We start from the raw sequence: 25912 nt of genomic DNA on the forward strand, positions 1-25912 counted from the left end.
TCCTAAAAAGACACAGAAGGCTTCAATGCCTTCACTGTTGTTTTGGATTGGAATGGTGCTGCAATGGGAACTGCAAATACAAATAAACATGAAAACAACAAATGCAGATGTAAAATAAAGACATGCTAGAAATCAAAGAAACCGACCTCTACCAGACACACCCAGGTCTGGGTGTACCTTTGCCTGTTCTTCCCGACTTGCACAGCCCAAGCAAGGTGGAAGGAGAAACATAACAAAATGATACAGGAACCAGAGAGCAGAGGGTCTTGGAGCATAAACTGTTAAAATAATAATATGAATAAGGGGGAAAGGAGAGAGATTTCACTTCCCACTAGCAATAAGTGAGCTCTTTTTCTTAAGCGGTAACTGTTAACAACTGAAAGACATACATAATAATCACAAGTTATAAATGTTCTCAGAAACTCCCTGGTTTCAACTATTCTATGACAAATATCTGCAGAGGGACCTCAGCATCTGCTATGAAGTTCAGGGAAAAGTAATTCTAACCAATGGAGCTGTGCCAAAATATCACCCCTGGGGTCTGACCAATTAAATGGCTGCTTCTTAGTGTGGAGTTTAGGAGAGATGACAGATTGAACACCGCAGCAGAGAAACCTACGCTTTCATTTCAACCCAGGCATTCTGCCCCAAAGGGTGAGTCAATCAGGAAACAAAGCAATTCAGAGTAAAGTCTTCTAACAACGCTGAAAACAGAATAAATGGACCTGCAGTTTAATTACAGCAGGATCCTTCTTCCATCGAAACTGATGACAAAGCTCATCAAGAATAAAGAGACTCTGATCCCCCTACTACTCTGGTGCAGGAAAGAGGATTTACCAGATAAGCTCTTCTGGACCTTCTACTGAAGAAGCTGCTTTCACAAGATATTATCACAATGACTGACTAATGGGTAACCAGGATTTTTTTTTAAATGAAGGCAGGGACTAGGTGAAGGGGTTTCTGGCACTCCAATGCACCGGGAAAAGAAGGCATTTCCAGACAGGAATTCTATCTAGGCTCAAAATTATGCAATTTACCTTTCCAAAGTGGACTGCACGAAAATTACTGCAGCCAAATGTACCATGGTATAGAATGAATTCTGGTGTTATTTAACTCCTTTAATTAAAACCTGCTACATTGAAAAGATAATTGAAAGGATTAAAATAACGCATGTCAAAGCATTTAACCCAGAGCCCAGCAAATAATGGATGTTCAACAGAAATTGGCTGTAAATAATTTAAAGAAAGTACTTTGTTAAGGTTGTTTTTGTTGTTGTTGTTGTTGTTTTAACACAGAAAGGCCCATTAAGGTTCTTAACTTTTTTATTTTACTTAGTTTTCAGACAGGGTCTCCCTCTGTTGCCCAGACTGGAGTGCAGTGGCATGGTCTCACTCACTGCAACTTCTGCCTCCTGGGCTCAAGTGATCCTCCAACCTCAGCCTTCTGATTAGCTGGGACTACAAGCGCAAGCCACCATGCCCAGCTTTTTTTTTTTTTTTTTAAATACAGAGTCTCCCTCTGTCACCCAGGCTGGAATGCAGTGGCGTGATCTTGGCTCACTGCAGCCTCTGCCTCCCAGGCTCAAGCGATTCTCATACCTCAGCCTCCCAAGTAGCTGGGATTACAGGTGCCCACCACCATGCCCGGCTAATTTTTGTATTTTTAGTAGAGACGGGGTTTCACCACGTTGGCCAGGCTGGTCTCGAACTCCTGACCTCAAGCAATCCATTCACCTTGGCCTTCCACAGTGCTGGGATTATAGGCGTGAACCACTGCACTCAGCCCATTAAGGTTCTTTAAAAAGACGTTTATCAGTTCTATTCCTCTATCTATCTGCTTTTTAAAAATTTAGGGGCCGGGCACGGTGGCTCATGCCTGTAATCCCAGAACTTTGGGAGGCCGAGGTGGGCGGATCGTGAGGTCAGGAGATCAAGACCATCCTGGCTAACACGGTGAAACCCCGTCTCTACTAAAAATACAAAAAATTAGCCGGGAGTGGCGGTGTGCACCTGTAGTCCCAGCTGCTTGGGAGGTTGAGACAGGAGAACGGTGTGAACCAAGGAGGCGGAGCTTGCAGTGAGCCGAGATCACGCCACTGCACTCCAGCCTGGGCGACAGAGCGAGACTCCATCTCAAAAAATTAATTAATTAATTAATTAAAAAAATAAAAATTTAGGTATGCCAATACCTCTAATCAGGTTCAGTTTAGTTTTTGAACCACTCCTCTAAGAATTAAATGACTACAGTTCTTCCACCAGTTCTTAATTATATAATCCCTTGAAAAACTTCTCAGAGGTGGTCAGAGTGGTTTATCCTCCTTGCAGCCCCAGGCTGTTAAATCTCTTCCCAATTCCACCCCATTGCTAATGAGTTTGTTACTCCCCACAACCCTGCAGTCCAGCCAGTTTAGAATTTCTCCCTTAGCTCCTCAACCCTTCTCTGCCAAATTCAAAGAATGAACGTATGCCTCCGGCCTCCACCTGATGCACTGTAATTGCTTGCACTGCACTGAAGTCAGATAGGATTTGGTGATAAATCCAGGATGAATTCAGACTAAGCACCCCCTTCCTCCCACAGACCTTTAGCTTGGTTTGATGTTTGATCTCAATCTGAAAATTATGCTGACTTTCTGAAATGTTTTCTGCTCCTGCCAGGAGGATGTGATCTACCCAGTATCTACGCCAAGCAGCAGAAATGAATGGTGATTTCTAGTTCTCTTGGTGTCACAAAAACCTTTGTATTTTCACCATATTCTCTCCTTGCCAAGAACACCTGTGTTCAGCCTATCTTCAAGGTTTTACTATTTGCCTATATCCCACAACAAAATGCAAAATGCCTCATATTCCCACCCTTTGATAAGAGTCAAGAAAAAAGACACCTGTGCTGATAGCAGAAAGGCATGTTGTTCTCACTGCTTTCACACACAGTCACTAGACCATCCACACTGAGATATGCTGCTACTTTACCCTTTTGCTCCTGGAATTACAAAGTGGAAGGACAGATGATTTTCTCTGCAATATGGTAAGGGTACAGAATGCACACACACACACACACACAAACACATTATCAAAACCTTTACCTGTCCCATATTATAGTATGAGACCAGCAGAATGGACCTGGTTCAAGTGGTTGTGATAATCTACAAAGATCCTGAGATGACTCGAGCAGATGGTTATCCTATAACCAATCCAGTCCTCTAATGAATGCAATAGAGCAGATTTCACAGTAGGAAGCAATGGGAAATGGGAGGTGGGTTCAGAAAATAGGGGCTGCTGAGATTGTTTATCAGCTGAGTGACCCCAAGCAAATTACTTACTTAATCTCTTCTCCAGAGACTTGCCAAGGGGTGAAGCAATTCAGCAGCTAGCATTAGATGCAGCCTCCAGTACTCAAAGAGAGTTTGAATTCAAAGACTAAAAAAAGTTCACAAACACCCGGTAGTTATTTGTAAACCACCACACTCAGAAAACACTCAAAAGATAGGCTAAAAATTCTGGAAACCAACAAAAGCAGACTGTTATTTAAAAGAATGGGCCAGGTGTGGTAGCTCACGCCTGTAATCCCAGCACTTTGGGAGGCCGAGGTGGACTGATCACCTGAGGTCAGGAGTTTGAGACCAGCCTGGCCAACATGGCGAAACCCTGTCTCTACTAAAAATACAAAAATTAGCCAGGCATGGTGGTGGGCACCTGTAATCTCAGCTACTCAGGAGGCTGAGGCAGGAGAATTGCTTGAGCCATGGAGGCAGAGGTTGCAGAGAGCTGAGATCACGCCATTGCACTCCAGCCTAGGTGACAGAGTAAGACTCCATCTCAAAAAAAAAAAAAAAATGGGCCTGTTGTAGTGGCTCACACCTGTAATGCCAGCTACTGGGTGGCTGAGGTGGGAGGATCACTTGAGCCTGGGAGATCAAGGCTGCAGTGAACTGTGATTGCACCACTGCACTCCAGCCTGGGTGAGAGGGAGACCCAGTCTCAAAAAATAAAAATTAAAAAATAGAAGGTGGTGGCCAGGTGTGGTAACTCACACCTGTAATCCCAGTACTGTGAGAGGCCAAGAGAGGAGAATCACTTGAGGCCAGGAGTTTGAGACCAGCTCGCAGCCTGGGCAACATAGCAAGACCTCACTCTGGTGTCAAGGCTGGACTGTAGTGATGCACTCTTGGCTCATTGCTGCCTTGACCTCCTGGGCTCAGGTGATCCACCCACTTCAACCTCCTGAATAGTTGGGACTACATGCACATGCCACCATACTCAGCTATTTTTATTTTTGTAGAAACGGAGGTCTCACTATATTGCCTAGGTTGGTCTCAAACTCCTGGGCTCAAGCGATCCTCCCGCCTCAGCTTCCCAAACTGTTGGGATTACAGGCATGAGCCACTCCCCAGGCTCTACAAAAAAAAAAAAAAAATTAATTAAAATAAAAGGATGGAGGCCAGGCACAATGGCACATGCCAGCACTTTGGAAGGCCGAGGCGGGCAGATCACCTGAGGTCAGGAGGTTGAGACCAGCCTGACCAACATGTAGAAACCCTGTCTCTACTAAAAATACAGAATTTGCCAGGTGTGATGGCACATGCCTATAATCCCAACTACTCTGGAGGTTGAGGCAGGAGAATCGCTTGAACCTGGGAGGCGGAGGTTGTGGTGAGCCAAGATCGTGCCATTGCACTCCAGCCTGGGCAACATGAGTGAAATTGTCTCAAAACAATAAAAAATAAATAAAAAATAAAAGGATTGTGAATTATAGGCTAAAATTTCCCATTGTTATTTAAAAAAATAGCCAAACACAGACTGAATCCCATATCTACCAAAAGTAACATCAACAGTCAATTCAGTGGCTTCATTTTATAAACCATATGGATGCAGTACAGTATAAACTAGGATAAACAACCATGCCCAGGAAGAAAGAATGGTCCCTACAAGAAAGACATGCATATGGGTAAAGGCAAGGGCTGTAAAGGACTAGTTATGTTAGCTTCTTTTCAAACCCAAAATGGAGACTTCTTCAGCCAAGCTCAAATACTAGAAGTCTTGACTTTTTAACAGCACCAAGTTTCAAAACACAGGCACACGAGTTACAGCAGACAAACACATCCTGTTTGCACTTGACTTCCTGTTTTGGGCTATCTGATCTCTTTCCACCGCTGTACCCTAGACCTTCAACAAGTAGGTAACCTTTCATATCTGCTGCCAACTGGTTCACTAGACAGTATTTCAGTGACAATAAAGTACATTATTATATGAGTCAGGTAAAAGATTCACCTAACAAGCACCAAAAACCAATCATGAGTGTCTAAGACACTTTCTGGATTTCCCATGCTTCGTACTGACATCTGACTTAAGCAATAAAAACTTAACACAAATAGTGCTGAGATAAGGAAATAAAGCCTGAAACAAAACTTCGAATATGAGGGCTGGGAAAAAGAGCAAGAAAAATTGAAAATGTTTTAATAATTAAACGCTGGCCCCTTTTCAAATGCAGAAGGAACAGATTCCCAGAAGGGAGTGACTGAGACAGTTAAACAGCCCTTTCGTGAACACTGCCTCAAATCCAACCTGCTACCAACTGGACAAAGTCTACTTTTCAGCATTGCAAAAGCCTTCAATTTTAGACACCTAAAGCCTCCACTTCAAGTGTAACTTTCCACTACTTTCAAAGATTTGGTGGTTTCCCAGGCCACATTCAGTTCTAGAAGTAAACACTGGGCAACAAATACCCCAGCTTAATGGACAAGTCATTTAGCCTCTTTGGGTCTGTTTTCTCATCTGGAAAACAGGAAGGTTGAACTACATTCATCTCTAATGTTTTCTCCAGCTGTAGAAAAATTTGAGGATTCAATATTAACGGTTAGCAGAAGTTTCTGTGGTTTCCTGCATTATTTCTTTGGTCAAATAAGATGCCTTTGACATCCCACATCCCACACTGTGAATAAAATGCCCTGATCTACCTCCCCAGTACCGGAAGATTTTTTTTCCCTTTCCCTTTCACTTGAAACATGCATTGGAAAATTTCCCTCTTGAAAGCAATATACTGACAAATTTTAAGTACTGTTCTTTATACATGGTCTTTTATTAAGATGTTAATGTAATCACCAGTCAATTCCTATGCTGCTCATCTGATTCATGGGGGAACTCAAGCCACAAAAGGATGGAGAAAATCTGACCAGCAGCATGTGGCACACCCACATAGTGACTGCTAATGAGGAGAGAATGAGGCAAAATCTGGGTAAAAAAAAGGGGGTGGTAAAGAGAAGTTCAGTGAGTCAGTGCAAGGGAAAACACAGGTTAATAGAAAAGAAAGAAAAGGAAATGTGAAAGGAAGAAGAAAAGCAAAAAAGGGAGGGAATCTATAATAAACAATGAGTAGAAACTTAAAAACCTGAAATTCTGTTCAGTTATTCATTCATTCATCCAATAGATATTGAATGCCCACTATGTGCAGGGAACTGAACTAGATACTAGGAGAAAGACAAAGGTCAACCAGACAGATCTGCTCAGTGAGGCCATGGTCTAGTAGGAGATAGGTAGGTACACAAACAACTATAATAGATGGCAGAAAGTGTAATGTGCCACAAAGGAGACATAAAAGAGAATTCTCTGCTATGAGACTCAGGAAGAAGTGATTACTCCCAGTGAGGGATCAGACTAGGGAGCCTTCATGGGAAGAATGACATTCCAAGCCAAAAGCACAACAGAAACAAGGGTACTCAAGTAGGAAATCAAGATCATACAGGAGCAGTGAGTAACTGGCAATAGCTAGTGATCCAGAGAGCCATGTCTAAATTGGATAGGTGGACTGGAGCCAGACTGAGTATTCAGAAATTGGCATTAGTATCTGAATTTAAGTCTAGTGGAAGAGGAAGGGGACAGGAAGGAGTTGATGGACTAGGAGCTGGAAGAAACTCAAAAACTTAACCCATAAAATTAAGATAATAAAATCAACACAAAATCAATGTGCACAGATATGTAAAGTTCCTCCAAAGAGACAGAGTATCTTCCAAACCAAAAGCAAGAAGAGGACAAAAAGGCTTGGATGACTATATTAATACACGGGTATTTAAACAAAGAATGTGACCACATCTAAGACTGGTTAACAAAGAAATCTGGAAAAATCTAGAAAAAACAGGGAGGGGCATTTTGACTCCAGAACTGCCCAAAGCCAAGAAATACTAGAGATAGGTGACACAACATCTTCTCTGCAGTGGAACAAGGTTATTTCACAAAGCTTAGATGGGTACAGCATATAGTAGCAGCTAGGGGTAGGGGCTCTTAGGGGCAGAGGGACTTGGTTCAAATCTCAGTTCAGCATCTTATCAGCTTGAAGAGAGCTTGGTTTCCTCATTTGTAAATTGAAGATAATTGTACCTACTTTGCAGGAGGATCACTGGGACAATGAAATGCCCTACTGTATGCAAAGTACTTAATACAATACCAGGCATTATGGGAAACAATAATCTTTTTTGTAACTATATTCTCCCCCACAAACCATTCTATCTTATAAATCCATGCTCACCAAGCAAGCTTGATATTATTAAATTTGATTGCCAGATCTCTTGATATTGAAAAGCAATTATCCTAACAAATTCCAGAATCCCGTTAACGGAAAAGGAATCCTTCATTCTAAAATAATAAATTGGCATTCCATTCTGAGCTCAATCACTCAAGTCTGAATACAATCCTGTCTTCAAGACTAATTATTTCCAGGTTCTCCACAAAATACATTTTGTGACCCAAGACTAGACTGACGACACAGTGACCAAAATCCTGAGGGGTCATCCTGAGAAGCTAGATTGGCACCACCCTGGCCAGCCCTACCTAATGCCACCCTCGCTCTACAAGCTAACTTGTATAATACTTTCCCATACTTCTCCACCTTCCACCCCTGTCATACCCTTCAATCAAGCACTATAGTGAAGCACTTTACCTTCCTCTCTAACCGTGTAGAGGTCAAATACACCATCTTATCCATTTTTGCATTTTCCTCCATATCCCAATATAACTTGCATCAAAAGAACCACAATAAATATTTACTGTAAAACACAATTTTGCTTAACAACACAAGCCATTGCATTCCACCATTCCCACAAGCTGAGGCCTCTTTCTGATTTATTTTTCCCACATCAGATGGGTAATGCACTGACTTTGTAGTAACAAGGCTTGATGGAGGCACATCTCATACATGTGCATGAAAATCCAATCATTACACTTATGAACAACAAAATAATCCCCTTTCTAATTTACTGAACTCTTACTCTATCTTTTATCTTCCCCTCCCTCCCCCACCTCTCCATTCCTAAACTGCCAGATTACTATAGAAAAATCAGAAGACTTTATTTAACTGGGTTGCTAACAAATTCATACAGCTGGGGTAAGCCATCACTGGGCTCTAAAAACCTTTCATTCCTCTCTAGCTGATGTCCTGATAGGGCTTTCCAAAGAGCAGTGTCATGCAAGGTTTAGGAGCATGGGGCCTGGGTCAGACAGAACTCATAGTCTTCTTTCTGTGTGACCTGTTAAGGTGATTAATTCCCTAAGCGTCATTTTTCTCATCTGTAAAATGAAGTACCTAAAAGAGGTCATTCACACAAATCCTTAACACTAACACAGTGACAGGCTTAGAGTAGGTGCTTAGTAAACACCGATCCAACAGCTTTTTTTTTTTTTTTGAGATTGAGTCTTGCTTTGTTGCCCAGGCTGGAGTGCAGTGGCGCGATTTTGGCTCACTGCAAGCTCCACCTCCCGGGTTCACGCCATTCTCCTGCCTCAGCCTCCTGAGTAGCTGGGACTACGGGTGCCCACCAGCACGCCTGGCCAATTTTTTTGTATTTTTAGTAGACACGGGGTTTCACCGTGTTAGCCAAGATGGTCTCGATCTCCTGACCTCGTGATCCACTTGCCTCGGCCTCCCAAAGTGCTGGGATTACAGGCGTGAGCCACAGCGCCCGGCCAATGGTCACCAATGATCTTCTGATGGATAAATGTGTGATTCTTTCCTATGTCCTCAACCTTCATGACTCCCTGAAGCCCCATGCACCCAAAACCTACCCAAATTCTTCATTATGAAGCTGTCTTCAGAGGGTTACCAAGAACTATGGACAGAAATATAACTTTAATTAAGCATTAGGCCAGGTGCGATGGCTCACCTGTAATCCCAGCACTTTGGGAGGCCAAGGTGGGCGGATCACCTGAGGTCAGGAGTTTGAGACCAGCCTGGCCAAAACGGTGAAAACCCATCTCTACTAAAAATACAAAATTAGCCAGGTGTGGTGGCACACACCTGTAGTCTAGCTACTCAGGAGGCTGAGGCAGGAGAATCACTTGAACCCAGGAGGCAGAGGTTGCAGTGAGCCGAGATCATGCCATTGCACTCCAGCCTGGGCCACAAGAGCAAAACTCCATCTCAAAAAAAAACAAACAAACAAACAAACAAAAAAAAAACATTAATCAGGCTGGATTTTGACACATTTCCTTGTAACTGAAAGTCACACAGCGCTAGATACTGACCATTTGCATCCCTATTGTTTCTAAAGATAGTATCTCTGACATTAGAAGCATAAGGCTTTTTTTTTAAGAATTGCTTGAGATATTTTTCAGATCCCAAATTCTGGTAAAACAGCTGATGCCAACCAGTTTGAAGACCCTCAGAGAGAAATAAAATCAGCATAATACAGTTTTTTCATCTCCGGGTCCCATTACTTCACCTTTCTCTCTCTGACCACCCAACAATCTCCACATTCCAGCCCACTCCAAAATCCTTAAAAACCCTAGCTCCAAACTCCTCAGGAGGACGGATTTGCAGTTCCCTCTCATCTCCTCATTCTGCAGCCCAACAAATAAACCCCGCCCCCAGGTCTTGGGTATTGACTTGCCACACATCAGACAGCACACTTACTCTGGATACACTTGAATTCCCCTTACAGACTCCTTCTCCCACACTGGCTCCCACTGCAAGCGTGGTAGCCTGACTTACCTTTGACATCAATGACCACTCTTGCTCCCTTATTTTCCTTCCCTGGTTCCTTCTTTTGCCCCCTACATAGGCCCTAGGGTTCTGTACTCCATACTCTTCCTTCTTCCTTTCCTTCTCTAGTGAATTTTACTTCTACTTTTTTTTTTTTTTTTTTTTGAGACAAAGTTTTGCTCTGTTGCCCAGGCTGGAATGCAGTGGCATGATCTCGGCTCACCACAACCTCCGCCTCCTGGGTTCAAATGATTCTCCTGCCTCAGCCTTCTGAGTAGCTGGGATTACAGGCATGCACCACCACGCCCGGCTAATTTTGTATTTTTAGTAGAGACGGGATTTCTCCATGTTGGTCAGGCTGGTCTCAAACTCCTGACCTCAGGTGATCTGCCCACTTCAGCCTCCCAAAGTGCTGGGATTACAGGCGTGAGCCACCATGCCCAGCCTGGTTCTACTTTTTAAATGCATCCTGCAACTATCCCGTTCTATGTCCACTGCCATATCCTGCCCTATCTGCGATGATCCTTCTCAAGAAGGGAGACAAACACTTCCTTACTGGTCCCTTCTTTGTGACTCTCTATTCTCTACAGAGTAGCCAGGGTAACCTTTTATTTAGAAAAAGAATCTTTGCTTGTCACTTTCTGTTTTAAGCCTTCAATGGTGTCCCACCACCCTTTTTTTTTTTCTTTTTCTTTTTTTTTGAGACAGAGTTTTCACTTTTGTTACCCAGGCTGGAGTACAGTGGTGCAACCTCGGCTCACTGCAACATCCACCTCCCGGGTTCCAACAATTCTCCTGCCTCAGCCTCCCGAGTAGCACGGATTACAGGCATAAGCCACCATGCCTGGCTAAAATTTTTTATATTTTTAGTAGAGATGGGGTTTCACCACGTTGACCAGGCTGGTCTCAAACTCCTGACCTCAGGTGATCCACCTGCCTCAGCCTCCCAAAGTGCTAGGATTACAGGTGTGAGCCACCATGCCCAGCCCCACCACACTTTTGAGTGAAGGCTAGACTCACTATCTAGCCCACAAAGTCCCCATGTGATGTGGGCTCTGCTTGCCTTTTCCACTTTACCTCATGCAGCTCTCCCACTTCACTCACCTTGCTCTGTCCTTCGGTCACCTTCCTTCAATTCCTCAAAAATTATAAATTATTTATTGCCCCAGGGCCTACAAACTTGGGTTCCTTTTCTGGCTGAAACATTCTCCCTAGCTCTTTTCACAAGACTGGCTCCTTCTCAGACTGCAGTTCACCTTCCCTATAACATAGCTGTCTGGCACACAGTAGGAGCTTACCAGGTATTTGTGAAAGGAACAGATTTCACATTCTCCAGTCAGGTAACTCCCAAAAGTGAATATCTGGAATCAATCTCACCCTTCAGATCAGTGCTTCATTTCTAAATGCCTGCTAAATTTCCATACCTCAAACTTAGCATACTAGATATAAAACCAACTCTTCCATTTTCCCAAACCAGTTTCTCCAGTTTTCTGAAATTACATGAGCAATATGATCCAGTTTCCACTTCAGAACAATAAATTTCCCATTCATTTGCTCTACCTGTCCAAAATTCCAATCACCTTTAAAGCTAAATTCAAATATCACTTCATTCAATCATGCATTCAATCAACCACTTATTCATTCAACAAGTACTTACTGAGTGCCTTTTATGAGGCAGACACTATGTTAGATACTCGAAAGCAAAGCAGATGTATTTTTGTCTATTATACATCAAACAATCATATAAATATTGAATTATGAACTAAAAAAAAAGTAATGAAGGAAAAATGCCAGAAAACATGAGAAAAAAATGAGAGGCATCAAGAAACACTGTTCTGATGATGGGCTGATTTAATGAAATATAATTTACACTAGGCAGACTGGAAAGAAGAGCATGCTAGATAGGATTCAATCAAGTCCTAGAAGCAGGAGAGATGAGATCTATCTCAATGTACATATCATCTTGCCTTACATATTATATCTATCTATCCCCCCCCACCATACTCATTTTACTGATAGTTACCTGAAAGAAAGGACATAGAGTGTCTCTTATGTGCCAACACAACACCCCCAGGAGACACTGAGTCACTGGTCTGGTACCTAGGAGCTTATGCTTGTAAAAAGCTCCCAGATGACTCTATATGCAGCCAAATTTGTAAATCATATGCCCAAACTACCCATTTAATAAACATATATTGATTATTCTTTCATGAAAAATCTCTAAGGTCAGTGTGGTAAATTGTATCTAAAATTGGTGGTAGGCCAGGTGCGGTGGCTCACGCCTGTAATCCCAGCACTTTGGGAGGCCAAGGCGGGCAGATCATAAGGTCAGGAGTTCAAGACCAGCCTGACCAACATGGTGAAACCCCGTATCTACTAAAAATACAAAAATTAGCCAGGCGTGGTGGCAAGCAACTGTAATCCCAGCTACTCAGGAGGCTGAGGCAAGAGAATCACTTGAACCCGGGAGGCAAAGGTTGCAGTGAGCCGAGATTGCGCCACTGCACTCCAGCCTGGGTGACAGAGCGAGACTCTGTTTCAAAAAATAAAGTTGGTAGTAATAATCCCAATCACATTGCATGCCCTTTTGCAATGTGATTTTTACCCTCTATCCTTTAGAGGTGAAGTCAATGTCCCCTCCTCTTGTATCTGGGCTATAATTGTGACTTACTCTGACAAAAAGAATGGGGCAAAAGTGATGATGTATGACTGCCAGGCCTAGGTCTTATGAGATCCTGCAGCTTCCATTATGGCCCAGCCACCATGTAAAAGAAGCTCGAGCTAGAATTTTTTTTTTTTTTTTTTTTTGAGACGGTCTCGCTCTGTCACCCAGGTTGGAGTGCAATGGCACAATCTTGGCTCACTGCAACCTCCGCCTCCCATGTTCAAGCAATTCTCCTGCCTCGGCCTCCCAAGTAGGTGGGATTACAGGTGCCCACCACCATACCCAGCTAATTTTTGTATTTTTAGTAGAGACGGGGTTTCACCATGTTGGTCAGGCTGGTCTGGAACTCCCGACCTCAGGTGATCCACTCACCTCGGCCTCCCAAAGTGCTGAGATTACAGGCATGAGCCACTGCGCTCGGCCACTCGATATAGGTTTATAAGTGATGAGAGACCAAGAAAGAGAACTCACAGAGAACCAAGATATCCCAGCCAACAGCTAGCTCCAAAGGTACAGACATGTGCAGCCTTCTTGGATCCTCCAGCTCAATCAGCATCATATGGGACAAAAAAAAATATGTCCTCCTTTCCTGAATTACTAACCCACAAAATCATAGGCAATAAAATGGTTGTCATGTTATGCCACCAAAAGTCTTCGGGTAATTTGTCACACAATAGACAACTGAAACAGTCAGAAATTCAACACTCTCTTGGGCAGTCATTCAAACATTTCCCCACTTTGATGATCAAAAAATTCTTTCTCGTATTCATCAAAATTGCTCCTCCTTCAATTTAAGACCATTTCCTCTTAAATCTTTGAAGTTCATGAAGAATAATTAATAAAAATCCCCCTGGCAAAACTATTCTTGTATTTGAAGATGATAATGAAGTTATCTCTTAGCTTTTCTTTCTCTAGGCTAAAATCTTTCCCCCCTTTTTAAAACTTATAATGATAAGACCTGTTTTTCAACCTTTTAATCATTTTAATTATCCTCTCAAGTATGAGAGACCCAAAATTGAACACCATATGCCAATATCTAACAGAGATTATTTCCTAGCTCTAATGGTTCAGCTTTTTATAATGGAATTTCTCATAGTCCCAAATATGGCATTTTAGCACTCCAAAAGTTGTGAAGTGATCTAAAAAGTTAATTACTTACTATAACTGTAAAAGGTTTTCTGCCCTTAACACTCAGCTTACTCCATTTTGGGATGACCGCTTTCACTCACCAGCCTGGTTTGATACTCCACCAGGGCAGCAGGTTTTCACAACTTCCAGATATTTGAAGTATAAAAGAAAAACCTGAGAGGTTGGAGTACGCACACCATTAATTTCAATCAAGGTCTCTAACCACAACCAGGGCCTTCCCATAGGTCAGGCAGGTTCAGAGTACCTCCTCCTCCTACCTTGATGATAAAGTGGCCTTGTAAAAGGCAAGACCGTTAGCACTTGCCTATCGAGCAAAGGCACCATTTCTGTGGAACCTGATAGAGTATATTTAACTACTATATTAAGAGACAAACCAGCTGCTTAATGCAGTGTAAGAACCATGTTTTCTCTCTGAGTCTTACCTAAATGTATATATGCTTTGGTATCAGACTAGCTTTATAATCACTGGTAAAATAGGGATAATAAATAAAGCCTACCCAACGCAAATAAAACCATATGAGGGAAATAATTTTGTAAAACACCATAAAAATGTCGTGATATTGCGGGACTAGATCTCAGCAAACCCTTTAAATCTTCAAATTAACTTTGAATGATTACTTGATGGTGGCAGGTAACACATACAAAATAAGCAGCCATGGGCTCATGTTCATCAAATAGGAATGAAAAACCATGCCATCTAACAAAAAAGCTTCTAATATTGCAAAGAATAACGGTTTGAGCCCGGAGATCCACGTCAGCCACTCTCTCTGATGGTGCCAAGCTCTAGTCCAGGGACACCAAGTTCAGTCAAAGAACTCAACAGTCTAGTGGAAGAGACAGACAGTGCTGTCTGTCAGAAAAGACAGAGAAGTCAGAGAAGATGCATATATGAACTAAGTGTCCTGAGGGATGAGTATCTTGCCAGTTAGAGAAGGGAGAGTCCATTGGGAAAAGGCAGAGTCCTAAAAGACATGGTATATCCATGGAATGTTAACATGAGAAGTTCAGTGAAGCTGGAGAGGAGAGAAATGGCCAGGGGAGAGGGAGATGAGATGGTTAACAGCAACATGTAGGAAAGAATCCAACTGTGAAAGCTTTTAGAAGTCAAGCTAAGTGGAAAACAGGGAACAAATGGCACCTTAAATGAAAAGATTAGATGTGGACTTTAAAAAGATAACTTGGGCAACAATATGGAGAAGATAGGAGCAAGGAAAGACTTATGGAGGAGTGGCCATTTGATAAGGGTCTGAACTAGGAGTTACAAACTCAAATTCCTAGAGGCAATGCAGGTAAAATGCTAAGTCTTCAGTGTGTAAGATGTCAGAAAATGGTGGTATCCGTAATCTTTGAAGAGTACAGGCCTTCTCTCTGATGGTGCCTAAAAGTATTCACACACAAAATTTTAAGCCCTTAGGCTGACTGATTGATTTTTGGGATGGAGTCTTCTTCTGTGCCTAGGCTGGAGTTCAGTGGCACAATCTCAGCTCATTGAAACCTCCACCTCCTGGGTGCAAGCAATTCTCTTTTCTCAGCCTGCTGGGTAGCTGGTACCACAGGCACTGGCCACCATGCGTGGCGTGCCTTTTTTTTTTTTTTTAAATACAGACAGGGTTTCACCATGTTGGCCAGGATGGTCTCAAACTCTTTTTTTTTTTTGATATGGAGTCTCACTGTTGCTCAGGCTGGAGTGCAGTGGTGTGATCCTCGCTCACTGCAACCTCCACCTCCTGGGTTCAAGTGATTCTCCTGCTTCAGCATCCTGAGTAACTGGGATTATAGGCACGTGCCACCACGCCCAGCTAATTTTTTGTTTTTAGTAGAGATGGGGTTTCACCATGTTAGCCAGGCTGGTCTCAAACTCCTGACCTCAGGTGATCTGCCCACCTCGGCCTCCCAAAGTGCTGGGATTACAGGCGTGAGCCACCGTGCCCAGCCTGACTTTAAACGTCCAGTTTTGACCTCTGGTAAATTAAGGCAATGACAGTGGGAATGAAGAAAAGCCACACATCAAACAGTACTCCAACAAAATCAACAGGGTTTAGCACATTTAAAGATGTGAGCATAAAAAGAATGAACAAGGCCGGGCGCGGTGGCTCACACCTGTAAACCCAGCACTTTGGGAGGCCAAGGCAGGTGGACCATGAGGTCAAGAGATCGAGACCATCCTCGCCAACATGGTGAAACACTGTCTCTACTAAAAATACAAAAATTAGCTGGGCGTGGTGGCACGTACCTGTAGTCCCAGCAACTCAGGAGGCTAAGGCAGGAGAATCGCTTGAACCAGGAAGGCAGAGGTTGCAGTGAGCTAAGATCACACCACTGCACTGCAGCCTGGGTGACAGAGCAAGATTCCTCTCAGAAGAAAAAAAAAAGAGTTGATGAGAGGATCAGAGTTGAGAAAGTACAGTACAGGCTCTTGCTCATTCTACCCTTACTGAGAACCTACTATGTGCAACGTACCATGGATACAATTCTAGCAAAGCAGACCCTGATTCTCAATACATACTATGATTGGAGTAAATACCAGGTTCTCCTGAGTACTCAACCCTGGTAAGTAAGAAGAGGCTTCATGGAAGAGGTGACTTCTAGGCTGAAACCAGTTGGCCAGATTAAGCTTGGGGAAGGTGTGTAAAAGAACGCTTACATATGCTAAGGTCTGAGGTGAAAGAGAACGTGGGCAATTTGTTGGAATTATAAGGAGCAGAAACGTAATTTGGAGGGTGACGACTACCTAGAGATATCATAGTCTGATTAGGTGAAGGACTCAAAAGTTTGGCGATGAAAAGCAGGAGGGAGATAGAGTAGTAGCCTAGTAGAATTAGAGATGAGGGAGGTTCTTCCTATTAATTCAGAAAGGAATATGGGAACAAACTCACTGATAAGACAGTGTTCTCCACAACTCAATATTTAGTTATTAGGAAGGCAACCAAATGCCTTCACTTCTTTTCCTTTAACAATGGCTTAGTTTGACTAAAGTGTTTCTCACAAGATACACACAAAAAAACAAAATACAAGAGCAAATGACGGATAAAGCTGTAAACCTAACGTTTTACTTTTCTAAGATTTATATAATCAGTGATTTAATTGGACCTAACTCCACATCCAGAACTCAAATGAAAGAAAACTTCTGGCCGGGGGCCGTGGCTCATGCCTATAATTCCAGCACTTTGGGAGGCTGAGGAGGGTGGATCACCTGAGCTTGGGAGTTCGAAACCAGACTGACCAACACAGCAAAACCCTGTCTCTACTAAAAATACAAAATTAGCCGGGCATGGTGGCGCACATCTATAATCCCAGCTACTTGGGAGGCTGAGGCAGGAGAATCACTTGAACCCGGGAGGTGAAGGTTGCAGTGAGCCGAGATCACACCATTGCACTCCAGCTTGGGCAACAAGAGTGAAACTCCGTCTCAAAAAAAAAAAAAAAAAAAAAAAAAAAAAAAACCTGACTCACTTCTGAAGACAGGATTTTCCCAGTTTCTAATGCAGCTTCATCTAGCTAATGAAACTTAAGAAAACAGTTTGAGGTTACCTGATTTTGCCAGTTTCAAAACATTGCCACGACAGAAAGCAAGCTGTCTCTAGTTCCTGTGGCTGAGGTCGCTGGAGCCATGTTCAGATGAGATCATCTCAGGAACCAAGAGCAGCGGCTTTCATGTGAAGTGAATGGTGCCGCCTGGGGATGTATCTTTGGTAAGCAAGATTGCAACACAGCAGGGAGTTTACCCAGGGCAGTGCTGACTCACGCTGGGCAAAATTTGTACTTCCCAAACAACTCAGCCTGAACCAACCGCAGTCAACTGCAACCTAGGAAAGAAGAGGCAGCTCACTGATTGTTTTAAATCAAGTGCTGATTACTGGGGGCAGGTAAACCTCATTCCCCCACTACTGGTAACTTGGCCACCTCCAGAGCCCTTACCCAAAAAGTTCCAGTGGCCAGTTTCTAAAATTTCATCTGAGAACAGGCTGGGGCTGGGGCCAGCAAGATTACTGAACATAGCAGGTTCACAGCTCTGAAGATTTCCCCAGGAGGCTGATAAATAAGTCACTTTGCATTTACAAATTAGAACATCTGGGTCAGTGGACTCAGGGAACTTGCCCAGTCATCATTAGCCAGTCAAATCATTAGGGTGAATTTTTGTCAGTTCTAACCAGGCTCATTGTTCTTTTTTCCCACTAGGCCTCCTCTGACCTCTCTATTTCTTCAGACAACTCAAGTTCTCTCATTAAGATAGATGCACTGGAATTTTTTTTTTTTAATCAGCTGCCACATTCTCTATGCTAAAGCCAAATCATTTACCATCACACCTACTGGATGCATAGGGAATACAGAAGACTATGAAAATCACCTTAACACTTGCTCTGAAAAGAGACATCCCTAAATTTATGTCAATTCTCATTTATTAGCCTGCTTATTTAAAAAATCAATCTAGAATGACTGGCTCATCAACAGCTATTAATTACTGAATTTGCCCTGACAGGCTAGAATTGACATTGGTGTTATACAAAAAAAAAAAAAAAAGATCAAGTCCTTGCTTTTTGTGTGCTTTAATTTGACAAGAGAGAAACTAAAGTTCCTATTAGATCCTTCTGTTTCCTGCTTAAAATGTATGACAGTTCCCCAAGGCCATCAGCTATTTCTTAGCAGGGCATTTGAGGCCTCTGCACCCAGCTTCGTTCATCCTTTAAGGTAGGTCTCACATGGCATGAACTCTGGATGTAGCTGCCAACTCAGCTTGTCATTCAATAATGTTAGGTTAATTAAAATGTACGTGCAGACAGAATTTGAGTTTAAAAACTATACTACTTAATTTTCTATTCAAGGGGCTAGTTTTAAAAAGTTATTTATCCAACTCACTTAATTCTCCTTAATTACATTATTCCAGTAGGATAGCCACGCTGAGCTTTGATAAGGTATTATAAAATGTTCCCTGTTTTATTTCCTCCCCTTCAGTGTTTTCCTTTCAGAAAATGGCTTTGTTTAAAGAAGTTTCCCTATAGTACATGTTAATTAGTCCTTTCTGAATGATAAACACATCTTTATAGCAGCTGACAACCATTATCTCTTCAACCACACTTTAAAAAAAATTTCTGTAGTTGATGATAAGTTACAAATTCTAGTATGAAACAACTCTCAAGGTACAGACAAATATGGAACCTCCTTCAGAAAAAAAAAAAATGATTAGAAAAGCTCCTGACCTGTTCTGTATTTGCGAACTTTAAATAAGAGGGCCGGGCACAGCGGTTCACGCCTATAATTGCAGCACTTTGGAAGGCCGAGGTGGGCGGATCACCTGAGGTCGGGAGTTCAAGACTAGCCTAACCAACATGGAGAAACCCCCATCTCTACTAAAAATACAAAATTAGCCAGGTGTGGTGGCACATGCCTGTAATCCCAGCTACTCGGGAGGCTGAGGCAGGAGAATCGCTTGAACCCGGGAGGCAGAGGTTGCAGTCAGCCAAGATTGTGCCATTGCACTCCAGCCTGGGCAACAACAGAGCAAAACTTCGTCTCAAAAAAAAAAAAAAAAAAAGAAAGAGAAAATCCAGACAGTACTATGCCCAGGAGACAGATACGAACTATATAAAGAGCAGCCTGAAGGCCAAAGGCATGGAACTCCTAAGTTGACTAAGAGAAACACCATTGAGCAAGTGAACAGAGCTGCTGCAGCTTATCATTCCCCTCTTTGGGACTCTGATACAGTTTTAACCAACTGCCCCAAATTATAGCCACACTCCATCCTAGTTCTTCCTTTTAAAGTGGAAAGGTTGAGGATTACATTTTAGAGCTTAAAAAGGTACTCGTTTGAACTAGTGGTTTCAGGCACTTGAGGATTTATGAGGTTACATGAAAATTATGAGAATATGAGGCTATGGGAGAAATAATAACTGTGGCTTTCTGACTAAGTTCTTTCAATACATTATTTTAAAATTAGCCAGGCATGGTGGCATACACCTCTAACCCCAGCTACTCTAGAGGCTGGGGCAGGAGAATCACTTGAACCCAGGAGACAGAGGTTGCAGAGCCGAGATTGCGCCACTGCAATCCAGCCCAGGCGACAGAAGGAGACTCCATCTCAAAACAAAAAACAACAAAAACAGAAAATACGTTATTTTAAAACTCAAGTAACTTAACACCCAAAACTATTTATGCTTTTTTTAATAGGGTGGTCTCAACAGATATTTAATGAGTGTGCATATGTGTATGTGCCCATTGTTTCATTTGAACAGACATATGTGATGTCATTGACATCCCAGATTTACTTTCTTTTCTGCAATAGATCTTGACATTATAAACAATAAGCAGGTTTCAAAAGAGAAATTAAAATATCCATTTCTCAGGATTCTGTAGTCTTCCAAATCCACAGAAAATTACCAAATACATACAGAAGATCTGGGAGGATGCACACAGCAGGGAGAGCACTGTAATGGGAATAAAGATCAAATAGCTATGTTTAGCTTTATCCAAATTACCCCCCAAAAATCATGAATTTTTTTACAACAAGCATATATTCAAATATGACTTGGTAGTTTAAAATTCAGTTAAAATTTTAAAGTTTGTATCACTTACAAACTGCTTTACTCTCTCTTCACACTCTTTCCTCTCAACATCTCCCTTTTATCTACTTCCCTACCCCCAGCATCCTAAATGATACTGCACATTTCTTGTTTTTAACAAAATTAATCTTACTTGTGTCCACATCCTTTTTCTAACTGAGAAGTCGGTGAATGGATAAATGCACATTTCCAGGAATCAGTGCCTGTCTCACCTTGTTGATAATTAATGATTGCCAAATTCTAATCTTGGTGTTCAGTGACCTCACAGCCTTTTTTTTTTTTTAACTATAGAACATAGTATTTAAGAAAAACAATATGATGGCAACCAAATATTTATCATCTAATAAATCACAGAAATTAAACATGAAAAATGAAGTAAACTTTATGATACTCAACAATTAACTCTAGGGGTACTTAAGAATCAACAGGGGTGCTTATTGAAAATGAACATTTCTCATCCCAGTCCCTCAGACACTCTGAATTAGCAGACATGGAGGGAGGCCCCAGAAACTGAATTTTTTTTTTTTTTTTTTGAGACGGAATCTCACTCTCATCGCACAGGCTGGAGTGCAATGGTGCAATCTCAGCTCACTGCAACCTCCACCTCCTGGGTTCAAGCAATTCTCCTTCCTCAGCCTCCCAAGTAGCTAGGATTATAGGCGTATGCCACCATGTCTGGCTAATTTTTGTATTTTAAGTAGAGACAGAGTTTTGCCATGTTGGCCAGGCTGGTCTCGAACTCCTGACCTCAGGTGATCCACCTGCCTCAGCCTCCCAAAGTGCTAGAATTACAGACGTGAGTCACCATGCCTGGCCAAAACTGAATTTTTAATAAGTATCTCTCTCTTCCAAGCCTTTTTTTTTTTTTTTTTTGAGACAGAGTCTCGCTCTGTCGCCCAGGTTGGAGTGCAGTGGCACAATTTCTCGGCTCACTGCAACCTCCACCTCCGGGTTCAAGCGATTCTCCTGCCTCAGCCTCTCAAGTAGGTGGGATTACTATGCACCACCAGGCCTGGCTAATTTTTGTATTTTTAGTAGAGACGGAGTTTCGCCATGTTGGCCAGGCTGGTCTTGAACTCCTGGCCTCAAGTGATCCGCCCGTCTCAGCCTCCCAAAGTGCTGGGATTATAGGTGTGAGCCACTGCGCCCGGCCTTCCAAGCAATTCTGATACAGATGGGCCTTGGATCATGTTTTGAGAAAAAGGACACAGCTATGTTCCCTAAGCACTGTTTAGAGTAAAATGAAAAAAAGTTTTTTCAAAGACCTCCAAGCTGAACAGTAGTCACACTGAGCAGGTCCTAAACATAAGTCCGCTCACCCACAAGAACCACAAAAAATACAAACTGTATTCACTTTGTTGGTTGGACCATTATTTTCTTCAAGCCTTCAGAGACAATTATCCTAACTACCATTAAGGATTTCACCTGTCACCCACAGTCTTGTTATACTGAGACATTTTCACACCTGGATATGATACAAGGGGCTTAATGGAATTTTTATGGCTAAAAATTAAAGTTCATTTGACTCAACAGAATAGTCAAATAAAACAAAGGAGAAAACCCAAAGGAACAGGTTGAAAGTAGAGGCTTTTGACTTCCTGATGAGCCAATTTTGCCCAGAAATTCAAACCATGGGATGCTATATAGCTCATATGTCTTGAGAGTGCCCAAATGTCAACTTATCGCCAGAGTATCAGCCAGTGCAGGCTTACAGTAACATTTGGAAGCACAAATGTGCTGTATAAAATGGCCTCTCCTGGGAGATAGAGGCTGTCGCCATGGCAGAGATCATTCCATCTTGGGGCCAGAAGGACCAGGCAGTCCCTTTAATCTTTAACAAGCCACTTTCACATTTAGATACAGGAACTGGCACTGCATGAGGCTCAACCTGCTTCACAGCACTTTGCTGCAAAACAACCCCCCAGTTGTGTGAGGGCATGCTAACCCAGTCTGTCCCCACTGGTGCAGTTACCAGAATCTATTCTATAATGCAATTGTGAGTACTTTATTATCCACTATGGTGTAATACTTCATAGCTCAGAAAAGGTATCCAATATCAAGAGGCTAGCAACTGCCTACCTCAGGCACAATGAAATACTAGGTTCCTGTATGTCAGTAATTGAAAAAGTAGCAAGCATGCAGGAAAAGAAAGAATCCAGAGGGGTCAGGACCCAGCCTGAGGACCCGATGGAGGAGGAGGAGGAGAAAGGAAGTCAGCAAGAAGTCAGCAACATGACCAAACTGCTATCTTGGGCAGCTCATTTCAGAAACCCAGCAACAGAAACCTTGGAACCATTTGATGGGTATAATTTTCTATATAAGGCTATTTCTTAGTTTTCTGTTTTTTTTCCCTGAGCAGCTAATACAGTAGAAGGGCAGGGAAAAGACCCCTGTCATCAAACTCCATCACCTAAATTCTAATAGCTTCATAATGAAGTGACTTAGCAGGCTCATGTCCTATTACTACCTTGCCGCAGTAACCATACTCTCAGAAAAAAGATTCTGTAATTCAACTCTGAAGATTGCCTGAATTCATCATTCTTCTTTTCTGTATACCTCTGAATTCGTCTCTTCTCCTAATACACACACTCACATGCTCTGTCTCCCTGACACACATGCCCTGCCTCCAATAAGTCAAACTTCCTAAACGTCTACCCTGGTTTCCACTAATAATGCCCCAAGATTAACTTACCTTTGTTCATGTCCCCAAGTCTAGGGGGCCTTTGTCAACACGTGTTTCATCTTGAAGGGTGATTTCTAGCCAAGTAGATAAGATTACCTGTTCACCTACAGTTAATCTTCAACCTGGTTTCTGCAGGCTATAGAAATAAAAGGATACGACTGCACAGCTTGAATGTCCCATCAAGGTAATCAAAGTAATGGAAGAGGGAGAGAAGGCAGAAGGAGAGATTTCAAAATAAAGACTGAACTGTGTACTTCAGTAGTACTTAGGAAAACACTCCATCTGACTAAGCAGCTGATGAGTAGACAAATACCCAAAGGACTGTGCATTCTCTGAAGATTATTGTGCTCACAGTTCTCACTTCCCCCAAAGTTCTGCAAGAGATCACATCATAAAATCAGCCTTGCATTATTTATAATAAAGTGGAGAGATGCATCCTAACATCCAGTATTCTACTGATTTACTCACAAATAAAGCTAAAACCTTATTTCAACTGAAACCCATGTAACAAGGAAGAAAACGTATTTTCTTTAGGTCTTTCAAAGGTACCTCTCTCATCCCTTTTATAACAGAACAGACAAGGGTTGGAGAAAGGAACCCAAAGCTCCATCCCAGGTCCTAAATGCTTTAAAAAATTCACATTAAAAAATGCTCCATAATACATTACCCATTTGAAAAAAAGCACTGTGAACAGCAGGGGGGAATATATATTTAATTATATATGATAGATACACACATACATATATATACATACACACCGAGAGAGGGAGAGCACGCGCACGTGCAAAAGAGCGAGCGAGCACGCACACATATACTAAAACCATTTAATAGCAGTTATTCCTAGTAGGGATGGGGGTCTAACTTCTACTTTATGCTATTTTAGCTGGGTTTTGTTTTGTTTTTCTGAGACAGTTCTCACTCTGTCACCGAGGCTGGAGTGCGGTGGTGTGATCACAGCTCACTGCAGCCTTGACCACCCTGGCTCAAGCAATCTCCCACCTCAGCCTCACGAGTAGCTGAGATCACTGGTGCATGCCACCATGCCTGGCTAATTCTTTTATTATTTGTAGAGATGGGGTCTCAATATGGTTCCCAGACTGATCTCAAACACCTAGGCTCAAGCAATCCGCCTGCCTCAACCTCCCAAAGTGCTGAGATTATAGGTGTGAGCAGTTTAAGTTAATCGTATTAGAAATAAAGTACCTAAGACCATTTGATAACATAAACCAAAACAATTTGAAAAAGTTTTTAGGGCCTTTGGAAGCCAAATTTTGAGTACATTTAAAGCTACAGTCATGGAGGCAAAAGTATAAAAAATTAACAAGAAATTCACAGTTTTGAAATTGTATTATTTGTCTATGGGCAGTACTGTACTGGGAGTGCTGTGCTATCTATTGCTGGGTAAAAAGAGTTTGTCTAGGGTCTTGCTGTCAAGGAAACCATGGCAGGGGTGCTAAAAAGCCAGTCAGCAGACCACTGTGACACTGTATGGAGGCAGATTCATTCAGAGAGCTAAAAATACAACTCAAAAATCTTCTATCTTTGTCAGTCGAATCAGTTTTACTAAGTAATCTGATGAACTTAAAAACCAGATATAACACCTATTAGAATAGCTAAAATTTAAAATGGTGGCCAGGCACGGTGGCCCATGCCTGTATTTGCAGCACTTTGGGAGGCCACGGCAGGTAAATTGCTTGAGGCCAGGAGTTCGAGACCAGCCTGGCCAACAGGGCGAAACCCAGTCTCTACTAAAAATACAAAAAATTAGCCAGGCATGGTGGCACATGCCTGTAGTCCCAGCTACTTGAGAGGGTGAGGCAGGAGAATTGCTTGAACCTGGGAGGCAGAGGCTGCAGTGAGCCAAGATTATGCCACTGCACTCCAGCCTAGGCTACAGAGCAAGACTCCAACTCAAAAAAAAAAAAAAAACAAAAATTTAAAAATGATGACAATATCAAATGCTGGTGAGGATGCAGAGAAACTGGATCTCATACACTGCTGGTGAGACTGTAAAATGGTACAGCAACTCTGGAAAAGAATTTAGCAATTTTGGCCCGGTGCGGTGGCTCACCCCTGTCATGCCAGCACTTTGGGAGGACATCGTGGGCAGATCACTTGAGGTCAGGAGTTCAAGACCAGCCTGGCCAACATGGTGAAACCCTGTCTCTACTAAAAATACAAAATTTGTCTGGTAGTGGTGGTGCACACCTGTAGTCCCAGCTACTTGGGAGGCTGAGGCAGGAGACTTGCTTGAACCCAGGAGGCAGAGGTTGCAGTGAGCTGAGATCGCACCATTGCACTCCAGCCTGGGTGATAGAGTGAGTGAGACACTGTCCAAAAAAAAAAAAAGTTTAGCAATTTCTTTGGAAAACTGAACATACACTTACTTACCTTAAGAACCAGCAATTTCATTCCTGGATGCTTAACCCAAAGAAACTAAAACTTGTGTCCATACAATCACCTGTACACAAATGTTCATTATGGCTTCATCTGTAATAGCCCCAAACTGGTAACAACTAAAATGCCCTTCCGGTGAATAGTTAAACAGCCTGTGGTATATACACACCATGGAATACTACTCAGAGATAAAAGGAACAAACTATTGCTGCCACACAATAACTTGGATGGATGGTGTGACACTAAGTGAAAAATGCCGGGTTCAAGACCAGCCTGGGAAACACAGTGAGACCTATCTCTACAAAAAATACATTCGAGGCTGGGTGTAGTGGCTCACACCTGTAATACCAGCATTTTGGGAGGCTGAGGCGGACAAATCGCTTGAGCTCAGGAGTTCAAGACCAGCCTGGGCAACATGGTGAAACCCTGTCTATAAAAAAAATACAAAAATTAGCTGGGTGTGGTGGTGCACACCTGTAGTCTCAGTTACTCAGGAGG

The 25912-nt window shown here is 42.5% G+C and overlaps 1 protein-coding gene, 1 long non-coding RNA gene and 1 other non-coding gene across 4 annotated transcripts in view, besides 7 other annotated features; all 3 read right to left on the minus strand.

The window, feature by feature from the left end:
• The window catches only part of RFFL (ring finger and FYVE like domain containing E3 ubiquitin protein ligase), an 83237-nt gene that overhangs the window by 40278 nt on the left and 17047 nt on the right, over window positions 1-25912 (minus strand). Inside the window, exon 1 of one of the 2 annotated variants that reach the window (NM_001017368.2) lies at window positions 17309-17440. The exons of the other annotated variant lie outside the window; for it this stretch is intronic. The gene's annotated coding sequence lies outside the window, so the exon portion shown is untranslated. Of the gene's footprint in view, window positions 1-17308; window positions 17441-25912 lie in introns of those variants that run through there. 2 annotated transcript variants of the gene reach the window in all.
• Window positions 1-25912, minus strand: part of RAD51L3-RFFL (RAD51L3-RFFL readthrough) — a 112411-nt gene that overhangs the window by 37156 nt on the left and 49343 nt on the right. The window lies entirely within an intron of this gene.
• Window positions 307-356: an enhancer, noted in NCBI's record as "active region_12052". NCBI's record gives its function as "activates an Ori minimal core promoter by ATAC-STARR-seq in GM12878 lymphoblastoid cells {active_cell/tissue: GM12878}" and the evidence as "EXISTENCE:reporter gene assay evidence [ECO:0000049][PMID:35858748]".
• Window positions 417-516: an enhancer, noted in NCBI's record as "active region_12053". NCBI's record gives its function as "activates an Ori minimal core promoter by ATAC-STARR-seq in GM12878 lymphoblastoid cells {active_cell/tissue: GM12878}" and the evidence as "EXISTENCE:reporter gene assay evidence [ECO:0000049][PMID:35858748]".
• Window positions 657-786: an enhancer, noted in NCBI's record as "active region_12054". NCBI's record gives its function as "activates an Ori minimal core promoter by ATAC-STARR-seq in GM12878 lymphoblastoid cells {active_cell/tissue: GM12878}" and the evidence as "EXISTENCE:reporter gene assay evidence [ECO:0000049][PMID:35858748]".
• On the minus strand, window positions 8121-8227 carry LOC124904123 (small nucleolar RNA U13). The gene has a single exon (XR_007066001.1). It is a non-coding gene; the product is annotated as a small nucleolar RNA U13 (small nucleolar RNA).
• Window positions 16991-18190: an enhancer, noted in NCBI's record as "CDK7 strongly-dependent group 2 enhancer chr17:33390277-33391476 (GRCh37/hg19 assembly coordinates)". NCBI's record gives its function as "activates an origin of replication core promoter dependent on BRD2, BRD4, P300/CBP, MED14 and CDK7 cofactors, with strong dependence on CDK7, by STARR-seq in HCT116 cells {active_cell/tissue: HCT116}" and the evidence as "EXISTENCE:reporter gene assay evidence [ECO:0000049][PMID:35650434]".
• Window positions 17212-17281: a silencer, noted in NCBI's record as "silent region_8433". NCBI's record gives its function as "represses an Ori minimal core promoter by ATAC-STARR-seq in GM12878 lymphoblastoid cells {active_cell/tissue: GM12878}" and the evidence as "EXISTENCE:reporter gene assay evidence [ECO:0000049][PMID:35858748]".
• Window positions 17277-18072: an enhancer, noted in NCBI's record as "OCT4-NANOG-H3K27ac hESC enhancer chr17:33390563-33391358 (GRCh37/hg19 assembly coordinates)". NCBI's record gives its function as "activates a minimal SCP1, AML or CMV promoter by ChIP-STARR-seq in naive and primed H9 embryonic stem cells {active_cell/tissue: H9 hESC(naive and primed)}" and the evidence as "EXISTENCE:reporter gene assay evidence [ECO:0000049][PMID:30033119]".
• Window positions 17522-17621: an enhancer, noted in NCBI's record as "active region_12055". NCBI's record gives its function as "activates an Ori minimal core promoter by ATAC-STARR-seq in GM12878 lymphoblastoid cells {active_cell/tissue: GM12878}" and the evidence as "EXISTENCE:reporter gene assay evidence [ECO:0000049][PMID:35858748]".

The sequence above is a fragment of the Homo sapiens genome, chromosome 17, assembly GCF_000001405.40.
Source record: "Homo sapiens chromosome 17, GRCh38.p14 Primary Assembly".
Taxonomy (NCBI): Eukaryota; Metazoa; Chordata; class Mammalia; order Primates; family Hominidae; genus Homo; species Homo sapiens.